The 13422-nt window shown below is 41.3% G+C and overlaps 1 protein-coding gene across 1 annotated transcript in view; it reads right to left on the bottom strand.

The window, feature by feature from the left end:
* CNTNAP2 (contactin associated protein 2) overlaps positions 1–13422 on the bottom strand; it is a 2304198-nt gene that overhangs the window by 180019 nt on the left and 2110757 nt on the right. Inside the window, exon 20 of the mRNA NM_014141.6 lies at positions 11201–11334. Coding sequence (NP_054860.1) covers positions 11201–11334 — 134 coding nt within the window. The remainder of the gene's footprint in view (positions 1–11200; positions 11335–13422) is intronic.

Genomic DNA, 13422 nt, shown 5'->3' with positions numbered 1-13422 from the left:
GACCCACCCTCAATCTGGGTGGGCACCATCTAATCAGCTGCCAGTGCAGCTAGGATAAAAGCAGGTAGGGGAACGTGGAAGGACTGGACTGGCTGCATCTTCTGGCCTTCATCTTTCTCCCATGCTGGGATGCTTCCTGCCCTCAAACATTGGACTCCAAATTCGTCAGCTTTGGTACTCTTGGACCTTCGACCACAGACTGAAGGCTGTACTGTTGGCTTCCCTACTTTTGAGGTTTTAGGAATCTGACTGGCTTCCTTGGTCCTCAGCTTGTAGACGGTCTACTGTGGGATCTCAGCTTGTGATCGTGTGAGTCAATATTCCTTAATACACTCCCCTTTATATATGCATCTATCCTATTAGTTCTGTCCTGCTAGAGAGCCCTAATATAGTAAGGTAGCCTATCAATAAAGACCCTTTTAAATTTATGTCTTAATAATAACCTCTGAATTCAACAGTTTGTAATCCGTGGGGTCTCTGTTTACACTGACATTGTCCTCAAGGGGAAATCTCGTTACGTGCTGTGTCCTTATCACCACCCCAAACTGCTAATATTCTCTTTTGCTGGATACCCTTTTTATTATTTACATGTTGATAAGGAGACTTGTCAAACTGTCTTCTAGAGGAGAAGTAGGTGGAACAGGTTTCTATTATCTGACAAAATGCCTAGTGACTGGACACATCTTTTCTCCCCTCCCAGAATATAAACTCCTTGAGTTGTAAAAGATACATTTTATTCATCCCTGTATGAGTCACCTACTGTTCCACCAACTCATCATTATCTATCCAAATTTCTTTTATATTGTAGATACTCAGCACATATTTGTTCTCCTCAAAGTTATTTTGATTAAAGTGGAATCAATTTTAATTGCATTCCACATCAGTAAATGGCCTAATGGAATGGTTTTGGTGACCATCTGGTTTTATCCAAATCAGGCTTCAGAAACGATTGCTGTTTGGAACTTTCTCACCATGTGGTGGGTTTAGTGGTAGGCAGGGGTAAGAGAGAATGTCAATTAGATATCATCATGTTAAATTCTTAGGGACCCCATGTGGCTTTAAGTAGAAGAGAAGTACATTGATAACAGAAGAGTCCTGGACATCTTGAGAACCTTCTGTCTTCTTCAGCAGGATCTTCACCACACGCCTCCACCACACTCCTAGGAACCATGTCCTTGCATACGGGCTGGCCAGACCTCTCAGTGTGGAGGTGGCCTGAGTTTAAAACTTCAAGCTGGTTTGAAGGTACTGGGAGGGAGAGGAATCTGAGGCTCTGGTAGTTGGGCATCTTGTTTCCTCTTTTCAGAAACATTTTGTCAAATACTGCTACTTTCTGAACCAAATAATGAAAACGTGCTCAAATACTTTCTCAGGGGCCGAGGAGCCATAGCTCAACCCAAAACCAGAGGCGACATTACAAAAGCTAATGAGGTCATGAGGTTTTTGATGTGTCTCTCAATCATGAACAGGCTTCTCTGGATACATAGAAATATAGAAGAAAAAATGAATTCTGACTCATATACAGACCAAATTAATGGGCAACTTCCCAATATATGTAGCCCTCTCTCTTCTCTTCCCATAGATCTTCTATATCAGTTCAATAGACTCAAACCATTGTAATACTATCAGAAACTAATAAAATATTGGCCTATGCTCTCCATAGAATTATACATGTCAGTCGTTCATTAAAGTGGAAAGTTAAGTGCTAATACACTTGCTAAGAATCCCAATAGAGAGCCAGTGCTATAATAGGTAAAAGTTCTTCTGGAAGGGAAGAAGCCAGAGTGTTCAAATGGCTCATCATTATTCTTGCAATTGCCTGCCTTCTGTCAAGCATGCTTGTATTGCACAACCCAGGCTGTGAGTTTATCATCCAGAGTAGATAAAAACTAAATTAGCCAAAGGGAAGGAGTTACAGTAAATGTAATTTCAAGAGCAGTGCCCTAGGCTAGCTAGGTCAACTTTCTTTATTTGTTCTGACATCCCTAAAAAATTTAGTGCTTCCAAACTGTGTTATTTTCCTTAATAAAGGCATGAACAACTTCTGATAGTAAAATTTTTAGGAGTGTTTACATCCATATGCTTGTTAGTATTGTTCTTTATTGGCAGAAAGTTCAAGGGTAATAAAGGCACACATTTTTAAATAATTTATTTGAGCTTCAGTATCTAATTTCAGTCTGGGCTCCATGTTTCTACAGAAAAGAAGGATCCTAAAATGGACAGACAAGAGGTTATGTTCATATTTACTTAAAGAATGAGATGGAATTTTTATGGGTGTATGATACTGTGTGCTGTAAAAACACTAGCCTTAACGTTGGACCTTGTAGTTCTCTTTGATTATAAAAATTAGGGTTTTATGACCCCCTACGAAACGCTATAAAGTCATTGCTTTTAGTGACTCCAAAGAAAACACAAATCCTCAAAAGACTTAATTTTGCGTAAACATTTTTAAAAAATTTCAAAAGTTTATAAGGCAAATGAACAGGAGTGAGCTTGCTTCTCTTGCCCACTTGCAAAGACAACAAAGAGCAAACTAAGTGGGGAAACGGGGTCTGGTTAGCTGGGTTCTAGAGAAGATCATGTCTCTTGTGAGCACTGGGACCTTATTCATCATTGGGACTTCTTTTTTTTTGAGATGGAGTTTCGCTCTGTCACCAGGCTGGAGTGCAGTGGCACGATCTCAGCTCACTGCAACCTCTGCCTCCCGGGTTCAAGCGATTCTCCTGTCTCAGCCCCCTGAGTAGCTGGGACTACAGGCGTGCACCCCCATGTCCAGCTAATTTTTGTATTTTTAGTAGAGATGGGGTTTCACCATGTTGGTCAGGATGGTCTCGATCTCTTGACATCATGATCCACCCGCCTCGGCCTCCCGAAGTGCTGGGATTACAGGCGTGAGCCACCGCGCCTGGCCTGGGACTTCTTAATCTCTGTTTTCTCATGTATATAATGGGACTAATAGCACCAGCTATTTCCAGTTCATAAGGCTGAGAATGGCAATGTGGGCAAGCATTTCGATATGTAAGAAAGGGCTTTGAGCACTACCTAACATGATCATTAAGGCCCTCTCAAGTCTACAGAGATTTTTCTCTGGGCTTGAGGAGGTTATGTGAAAGTCCTTACAATTGTACACTTTTCCACATATAGAAAGTGGTGAACTAGGGCTCCCCCGGCCACCAATGTTTCACGTCAATTAACATTTGGTGCTGCCCTAGGAGTCCATAATTGAATTACTCTCATTTTGCTGCTGATAAAATTCTTCCAACAATTTTTGACACCACTCTGCATGTGCCTCAGACTACTGACTTTACAGCATTCAATATTCATAAATGACTTCAGACCATTTGATGTTACATATTTCAGAGTGAGAATTTCTCCAGGTAAGACTTTTTACTGAGTCTTCTCCAGTGGTCTTTTCTATTCATGAGATAGAGACAGGATGAAATCTATGAAATAGTCACTCTGCTAGCATCTTTGTTTAACATCATGTTCTCTTTTGGAACACACATCTTCCCTCTCCTTCTCCCTCTTCCATAATAAATATTCTTCCATGTCCTCTCTTGCCCCCCATTCACAGGTTAACATCTTATCCTTCCTTCAAAGCCTTATAGTTATAGCATAGAACCACAATGTCTTTTACTCTATTATTTTTGGACATTAGTACAAACACCTTTTTTATCAGCCTATTTATATATTGCTTACGATTTCCAACTAGAAATCATTTTACTATTATGTGGGAAAGAAAGTTATTTGTATTAAGCCTCTGATTTTTTGTTATAGCAGCGAATACAACCCTAACGAATACATACATTGGTATCTTAAGGCAGGGTGCTGCTATAACAGAAACCTAACACATGTAGCATTGGCTTTGTGGTAAGGTGGCAGGTGGTGCAGGAATGAATATTAGGGACTTGAAAGACAGAGGAAGAATGGTATGTGATATGGTTTGGATATGTGTCCCTGCTCAAATCTCATGTTGAGTTGTAATTCCCAGTGTCCAAAATGAGGTCATGGTGGGAGTTGATGGGATCATGGAAGCAGAGCTCTATGAACGGTTTAGCACCACCCTCTTGGTGCTGTTCTCCTGATAATATGTGAGTTCTCATGAGATCTGGTTGTTTGAAAGTGCGTAGCACCTTCACTCTCTCTCAGTCCTGCTCCTGCCATGTAAGACAAGCCTACTTTCCCTTTGCTGTCTGCCATCTAAGCTTCCTGAGGTCTCCCCAGAAGCAGAAGCTGCTATGCGTCTTGTACAGCCTGCAGAACTGTGAGCCAACTAAACCTTTTTTTTCTTTATGAATTACTCAGTCTCAGGTATTTCTTTATAGCAGTGCAAGACAGACTAATATAGTATGCAATAAAATATTTTGTAAAACTGTCACCTCACATAACCTGGAAGGCAGACTAAATGCCTAAGTAGCTTTAAGGAAAGTTCTTCAAAAGAGACAGAATGGTCGTGTGTGTCAGTTGCTTTTTGCTCCTCATGTCATGGAGCAGATGAGTTCAGGAAAGAATTGACCAGTTCCCAATAATCAATGAAAAGAATAGAAAAAAGTCTAGATATTTAGAGCCTTACACTAGAGAGTAAGAAATAACACTGCAAACCGCTTTGACCAACAATGGGGCAGTAAGATTTCTGTTTAGCAAACTGACTTAGCCTCACGGGTAACATTTAAATTAAGGGTCTTTACTTCCCACCCAAGCCTTTTGTGTCCACTGGCCCCAAAGTAGCTGCCATTACCTTGAGAGAGAGAGGCATGGGCGCCTGGAGGCAAATGATTGAGTAAGTCTAAGATTGATGTCTAGGGAAGAGCTTAGGGTGCATTTACCAGCACATGAAACTTACCAGAAGCAAATTGATCAGAAGCCACCTTGGGTTTTGAGGGAATTGTATTGGAAAAGAAAGCACAGATCTAGTCCACAAAAGGCTTATGAGTGTAAAAAACCCTTAGTGTAATTTGAACCTGCAGGAAATGGGCCTTAAAGCTGCACAGCTGTAGCCAGGCGCGGTGGCTCACACCTGTAATTCCAGCACTTTGGGAGGCCAAGGAGGGTGGATCACGAGGTCAGGAGATCGAGACCATCCTGGCTAACACAGTGAAACCCTGTCTCTACTAAAATTACAAAAAATTAGCTGGGCGTGGTGGCACACGCCTGTACTCCCAGCTACTTGGGAGACTGACACAGGAGATTCACTTGAACCCGGGAGGTGGAAGTTGCAATGAGCCAAGATCGTGCCGCTGCACTCCAGCCTGGTGACAGAGCAAGACTCCGTCTCAAAAAAAAAAAAAAAAAAATAATTGCTGCACAGCTGTAAGGAGCACATTATCCGGCACATAATTCAGGGGAGGCCATGGCTGAACACACACAAGGAAGAGCCTCCCAGAGGATGGAGCCCAGGAGGGCTTCAAGAATAATGGACAATAATTTGGCCTAATCCAGGGTTGGGGAAGCAGGGAAGTTGGTGGCAGTGGCAGGTCCTCAGAGTGCCTGCCCAGCACAATTTCATCACTGCTGGAGACCAGAGAACTTTCCTTTTCTGAAAATATATCTGATGTAAGACAGACTTTTATTGGGTTAAAACATGGACATTTGAGGGCTAATTTGTATAGCAACTGGCATCATCCTAATATTTGTATCCTTTCTTCTACTTCTAGCACCTAGCACACTACATGTTGCTAATGTTTTTGACACTTCTCTGACAGTTCTTAAGATTTATATACAGGACCTAGTTCAATTAACAATTGATGCAATTGTTTTTATACAATTTGGTTGAAATTCAGATTAGTAGCAGGTAAGAAATTACCGTGCTTATATTATTTTAAAGAACAGAATTCAGTGATATTTTTGAACATTTGTTTTGAAAATTCCCAGTGAAAATAATCAAAGTCATCCTCTTTTTGGTGTAAGAACTTGGGGATCTAATCATCATTTGTTCCTGAGGACCTAGAATTATTTTCTAAGAAAGGCCTTATTTTGCTTGCAGAAAATCTGTTAGCTTCTTCTTGGCAAAGATAAGATGGCCCTCTAGTTAGATGAAAGCCAAAATGATACATCCTTACCATCTGTTCATTTGATTTGTAGAGAATATGGATTCCGAGTATCTGTGCCAGAGAATATATCCCTGAACTCTCTATTGTCTAACTCACATCTAAACCCAAAAATGTGTGATTGTCATGGATAATTATTCAAAGAACATGTAGTTTATTCATTATCATTTTCCAGCTAGTTTTATCCTAGGATCAGTTCAAAATTTCAGAAAGCTGCATCATCTCAGCCTTTGGCCTCTTCATCTGTCCATCATCCTGCTCTACCTCACTCTCTACAGACTTGTTTGGGCTGAATTCAAAATGGGAAGCTTTACTTTCCCAAGGAGCTTCAGCATCTAACAGCCTTGTAACAAATACATTTGCAGAAATGCTGCTGAGGGCATTGACTCTGACTTTTATTGGGGCCCACTATGTAACCAGGAGGACAACAGACTCTTAATTGTTGCTGTGTTTAAAAAAATCTGAAGAAATAGGGCAAAATGTCGAAATTTGTAATGTTTCAATGGTGGGTACATAGCATATGGTTTATTATTCTCTGTGTTTTTGCATATTTTGAACTATCTTATGGTAATAACAGTAACATCACTTAATTTCTTACCAGCCAGAGGTATCTGCTTCTAAAATTTTGTGAACATCCTTCCAGACATCTGTCTATTAAGCAAGGTTAAGAGCCTGTGTACACTTTGAAGTATGACGGACCTGGGTTCGACTATGCTGTGGCCATTTACCGCTTTCTAACTTTGGGCAGGTTGCATCTTACTTTATGAACTTTAATTTCCACATCTCTAAGATGGTATATTAGTCCATTCTTGCACTGCTATAAAGAACTACCTGAGACTGGGTAATTTATAAAGAAAAGAGGTTTAATTGACTCACAGTTCTACAGGCTGTACAGGAAGCATGGCTGGGGAGACCTCAGGAAACTTACAATCATAGTAGAAGACAAAGGGGTAGCAGGCATGTCTTACATGGCCTGAGAAGGAGGAAGAGGGCAAAGCAGGAGGTGCTACACACTTTTAAACAACCAGACCTCATGAGAACTCACTCACTATCACAAGAACATCTAGGGGGAAATCCACCCCCATGGTCCAATCACCTCCCACCAAGCTCCTCCTTCAACATTGGGGATTATAATTTGACATGAGATTTGGACAGGGACACATTCCAAAACACATCAGATGGGAATAATGATGGCACATACTTCATAAAGTTTTTGTGATGACTAAATGAGAAAATGTGTCTAAAGTGCTTAGCACGTTGCCTTGGACACAGTAAGCACCAATACATGTGAGCTGTTATCGTGTATGTGATGTTGTATAAGTGGAGTATGCTATGGGCATTTTCTATGTCAGTAAATACAATCCATGGAATTAAATAAAATAAAAATGATATAATAACAAAAGGTTCAATTCTCAAGAGGAACTGGCTTAGTTCATCCTTATGGGTTGCATACTTCTGGCTGCCGAGAAGTTCACAGTCAAATTTATCCAAGTGGTAAGACCTTGTGACCTGATAATCATGTTCTATTTTCTCGATCTTGGGGACTTACTTTTTGTGACTTCCATTAACTCTCTATTTCATTTAATATTCTCCCTGTAAACCCCCTTAGATCCCTTGTGCAATGTGGTTGGGAAGAGAGAAAGGAAAAAATAGGAAGGAAAAGAAACATGGATGGCAAGACGGAAGGAAGGAAAGGAAGAAGAAAGGGTTAGTTGCACAAGGCTTTGGAATTGTTGATTAGAATGTTTCGCTTTTGGATTCATGCTAATTGACATAATTTTTCACTGCATGCCAGACTTTTTCAGGTGCTCTCTGGCTGCACCTTGTTTGTTTATATTTTGACTGGCATTAAGCCTTAAGCTATTCTCCCTGATGCGACTGTGAGTTTTCACAAATGATGCCACTGGAGGTATGCCATGGGTTCTGGTTCACGCTGGTGTCTGATAACTACTACAGTCAGTTCCCTGTTATCTATGTGGAGACTGGGTACTTTGTCTTTTGGCAGCAAATGTTTCATCCAAGGTCAGTTTCCCTCAAGTGCTCAGTGCTGTTTCACAGGGTGTGTGCTGAGGGAATGCAGATTAATTTAATGTTAGCTTTAGCCAAACCCAGCTACGAAAGTAAACCTGCTTTTAAAGACACCATAAACACTGATGAGGATCATCTAAATTATATGTTTGAGCATGTATAAATGCATCAACATTCACCTTAATTCCAAAGACATCATTCCACAGCACTGTGATCTACCATTCATCTTTGCATTAGCCTTATTTTTGTTCTTTGACTATAAATAAATAAATATTAATTTGAAATTATTGAAATGCCTTTGTTATCATATGTTATTATAACTGGGGACTACCAGAATAGGTTGAGAATATATGGCTGTTTCATATTTCTGTTTGATTATAAAAATGCAGCATGTGCTTATAATAGAAAATGGGGAAATAGAAAACTCTAGAGGAAATCAAACCATTGATAATCCCTTCACACACAGATGATCACTGTGAACATTTTATTATATCTCTTTCCACACACAGTTGAGGCTGTAGAAGTTCTCAAGATGGATTTTTAGATTGTTTTAAGAAAAAATTGCAGTGTTATTTGGTGTTGCAAAGCACTTTCCGAATTACTTCCACGTCTGCAAGGCCTCCCTGCATGAAAGAAAGTGGGGCATGGGAGTGAGAAGCCCTGGGATCTGCTTTTCCATAAGGAGGAACTACATCTTGTCTTCCTCCACCACCTCTATCTTTACTTTCTTTTTGCCCTCAGTGGTGGGCAGGTCCCAGGGTAGATGGGACAGGCTGGGCTGAGAGATTGGAGCTCCCCAGGCCGTGACATCTTTCCTAGTTGCCCTCACGTGGGTTGGGACATTCAGAAATCTTACTGCAGTCAGTTACATTACATGACAGAGAAGGAGGGAGAGCTGGATCTCCCAACACTTCCAGGTGCAGAACCTAGGGCGGAATCGAGGAAGCACTTCCCAGGTTTTTCTCCTCTCCTACCTCAGAATCGTGCATCCAAAATTTTCACTCCTGTCGTCCTATCTCCTTCCTTTTTCTGGAACTGCATTCTGTTCTTTTGAGGGAGTTTCCCAAGTTCCCCACTCTAATCAAGAGATGTGATTAGGGACTATGGGTCTTTGTTCCCCCTTCCACCCAACAAGGTGAGCACGTGACTCAAACCAGGCCTATCAGAGATTCCCTGGGATTTTAAAATGAGTGTCAAGAAACTAGGACCCCTTCTTCCGGTAACAAAATTGGGAAGACATGAGCCCAGTACTCCTGTGACTATGGCCTAGGATATGTGAAAGATGGAGCATGCAGTAAGAGGTAATTAATCCAGTCTTCAGAGAGAGGCAGAGATGAGAATGAAAAAGAGGGAGGGAAGGAAGGAAGGGAGAGAGAAACCTAGTGGTATTCTAGTCCACAGTTTTAATTCTCCAGGCTCCCTAGATTCTCTTCCCAAAGTTTGGTTTTATCTTTTTCAAATTCTATAATTCTATGACCTACCCTAGGAATTTTCCCCAACAAATTACTTCTGAATTGCTTTTCTATCATTTGCAACCAAAATAGTCTTGGGCAATAGAACCAGACCCTCCCCCAAACCCATTCATCCCCTGGATTCTCTGCAGGTCTCTGGCTGCTCCACTGTCTATATCTCTGGCTTTCTGTGCCTCCAAAGCCCCAAGTCTTAAAAATCATCCACTCCTCTCCCCTTCCTCAAGTCTTTCTCTAATTCACTGTGGCAGAGAGTGAGGGTAAACTGTATACGATTCTATGGCTGTGGTGGGTCTCTGCTGTTATACTGTCTGAAAAGCCATTGTTTAGGTCTTTTTAAGTTTTAGTATTATTTCGCAATGGTAAAATGGCAAGATAAGTCACTTTCTTTAAAAGAGGTGACAAATTGGGTGGCTTAAAATGGAAAAAGTCTCTAATCAAAAGCCGAGGGAGACAATGTTGATGAAATGATGTAAAACGATCTGTCTCCTGGACTTGCTGGCTTTTCTGACTAAAACTTGGTTAAAGATGGGCTTGGTTTACTCCATAAAGAATTTGTCACCCCTAATGTGTGCCAGGTACTGTGCTGGGCTCTGGGACTCTGTCGACCATGATGAGAGAACCTTATTATGCCACCTTTGATTGATGGCGCAGTAAGCTGAAACAGTGCATGTCAGTTTCCTAGGAAAGGCCTCTCCTTAAAATGCCCTCTAGCATTTACTGCTAAAGGCCACGCGCAAACTCCATATCAAGTTATGAATCTGACATCCACCAGTGCTCAAAAGAGATAGGGCTTGTGCCTTTTCTTTGCAACCTGAACTTCCCACAGCATCCAGCCGAATCAGAATGAGGTCTGAGAGGCTGCTGAACCCCTGCCAAATGACACTCCACTTTACTGACAAAACAGCATCCTCCTGCTGTTCTTTCTCCTGACAGGCATCTATTTTGAACTCCTTCTAGAGAATGCAGTGACAGTTCCCATCCTTGATGTCTTGGCCTAGCTCCCAGGGAGACCTCCTCACATTATGTTTTATTCATGGTGTTTCCCAAGCTGGTTTCTTCACTGTAAAAATCAGTGGTGAGGGCCGGGGTCGTCAATGAACCTGAAGTAAAATTTGAGTGTCATAATAAAACCATCCCTTTGTGTGCCGAAAGCCCACAGTCAGAGTCTGAGATTCTGGGGAAAGACTGTTTTGAGGATTTTTAAGACAAAGGCTCTGCAGAGAGAGAGAGAAAAATACAGCTCTTTGTATTGTGTTGGAGCAGTGAAAGAAGTAGGTCGGAGAAACCAAAATAACCTTTGCTGGGAAACACGGTAAGTTTCAGATGTCTGAGAGCTTGGCGAAGAAAGATGGTGCAATGGATAAAAGCAGTAAATTGATAGATATGTGGATCTAGAACTGGGAAAACCAGAAAGACTATACGGAATAAACATTTATTCTATTTCCCCCTAAAAGATGTCTTCAACTTCATCATTGTCTTTCCTTGTCAGAATTATATATATTTCTACTTCACTAGTTATGCACTTGTAGGAGAAAGTGTAAAAAGCATCTCTTCTACTTCTATCCCCTCAAAACAAAACCAATGGCCAAGCATTATAGGGACAGGGACTATAATGCGATATTATATGTAATTTATATGTACATGTATGTATACCTTGAGAAAGATGGTCTTCTCGTGGCGGGTGATGTTGACACTGTGGGGCTGTCCATTGGCCATGTTCCTGTGGTCTACGTCAATATTGTATGGCTCTCGGGTGCCACCCAGGTTGTATCGAATCTGTAAGCTTCCTATAGAAGAAAAAAGAAAGCTCAGTAATTTGTTTGCCCTAAATTTCATTTTAATGTCACATCCCCTCAATTCCTGCTCTTAGATTCTTTCTTTCTTCCTTTCTTTTCTTTTCTTTCTTTTTTTTGACGGAGTCTTGCTCTTGCCCAGGCTGGAGTGCAATGGTGCGATCTTGGCTCACTGCAACCTCTGCCTCCCAGGTTCAAGCGATTCTCCTGCCTCAGCTTCCTGAGTAGCTGGCATTACAGGCACCTGCCACCACGCCTGGCTAATTTTTGTATTTTCAGTAGTGATGGGGGTTTCACCATGCTGGCCAGGCTGGTCTCGAAATTCTGACCTCAGGCTATCCGTTCGCCTCAGCCTCCCAAAGTGCTGGGATTACAGGCGTGAGCCACCATGCCCATCCAATTTCTGTTAAACTTTACTCCCTCCCTTGATGTCCACAGATAACATTCAATATTTGAATTTGGATTCACGAGCTCAGAGGCCTACTGACCCATATCGGCTGACAGCACCAGGCTCGCACATATTTACAATCTGCCCACAGTGAACTTCAGTGACTGTCGTCTCAAAGTTGAAGATGCAAATAGTTTAAATGATCCAAGTTGGGATTATGCCTGGACACAAAGAATGAGAGCATATACAATATAGGACTGCAGGGAGGAGACATCTGCAGGTCCCACGAAACACTATGTGAAATAAAAAAATAAATGCAGAGTGCAGGGATGTTCTCACCCCGTCAGCAAAGTGTGACATTGGGCATATAAAAGAATCATGAGCATACAATATTAAAAATAAACATAGTTTTTTTTTTTTTTTTGAAACAGAGTCTCGCTCTGTCGCCCAGGCTGGAGTGCAGTGGCGCGATCTCGGCTCACTGTAAGCTCCGCCTCCCGGGTTCACGCCATTCTCCTGTCTCAGCATCCCCAGTAGCTGGGACTACAGGCGCACGCTACCACGCTGGGCTAATTTTTTTTTTGGTATTTTTAGTAGAGACGGGGTTTCACCGTATTAGCCAGGATGATCTCGATCTCCGGACCTCGTCATCTGCCAGCCTCAGCCTCCCAAAGTGCTGGGATTACAGGCGTGAGCCGACGCTCCTGGCCAAACATAGTTCTTAAAGATGAGATTTTGGGTGGCCTCATTGAGACCAAGTAATAAATTTTATTTTAGCTTACAGACTAATCAAATGCAAATCAACAGGAAAGATGGCTTTCCCTGGTCCCCTGAGTCCCTTTTTGCCCTCAATGATAGTTCACTTTGCCTCAACAGTATATTCTTTTTTTCCTCCTTGCTTCGTCCCAACAATAAAAAACAATATTGAAAATAACTAATATGACAATGTAGATCCTGCTTTTAGTTAATCTGCAAGCATAAATATTATATCTTAGTTATGAGTTTTAAAGACATCAATATTTTATCTCATTTGTTACTCAAATTGGAATTTTCATGTTGATATCTCAGAGCTTAAAAATGGAGCCAGCAATCTAGCAAGAATTTGACCAACTGCAAATCACCTAATGGATTATTTGTCACCTTTCATTTCCTTTTTAGGGGAACAAAACTGATATTCTGATTTTAAGTTACAAAATAAAACATGCTAATTAAAACATAGAAAGTAAACAGAAAAAAAATAAAAGAAAGTCACCTGAAATCCCACCACCCAAAGATAATTTTTCTAAACATCTTGGGAGTAGCTCCTTCCAGACTTTCACACACACACACACACACACACACACACACACACACACACACACACACACGCTGTGCTCTTCCTTATTTAGGCATCCTAACATTACACTTGCCATGTTCCTGGATTTCAAAGGAACATTTGTTAGAATAATCAAGAGCTAATTACATTTCCTATATTTGTTTTCTAAACGAAATTCAACAAACCTTCACTATTTCTGAGTTTTACCTTAGAATGTCATCCTAGACTCCTTTGCCCCTGGCATTTCAACTAAGCACCGTGGATTGGATTTTCGTCTCCTAAATCTATCTAAATTCCCTCACTCTTTTCCACTTCGGTAACCACAGGCTTTCTGTTGGCACCCACAGTGTCCTTGTGTGAATTCCAGAGGGAGCCTGCT

The sequence above is a fragment of the Homo sapiens genome, chromosome 7, assembly GCF_000001405.40.
Source record: "Homo sapiens chromosome 7, GRCh38.p14 Primary Assembly".
In the NCBI taxonomy this organism is placed as follows: domain Eukaryota; kingdom Metazoa; phylum Chordata; class Mammalia; order Primates; family Hominidae; genus Homo; species Homo sapiens.
The sequence above is the reverse complement of the archived record's forward strand: the minus strand, read 5'-3'. Positions and strand labels throughout refer to the sequence as shown.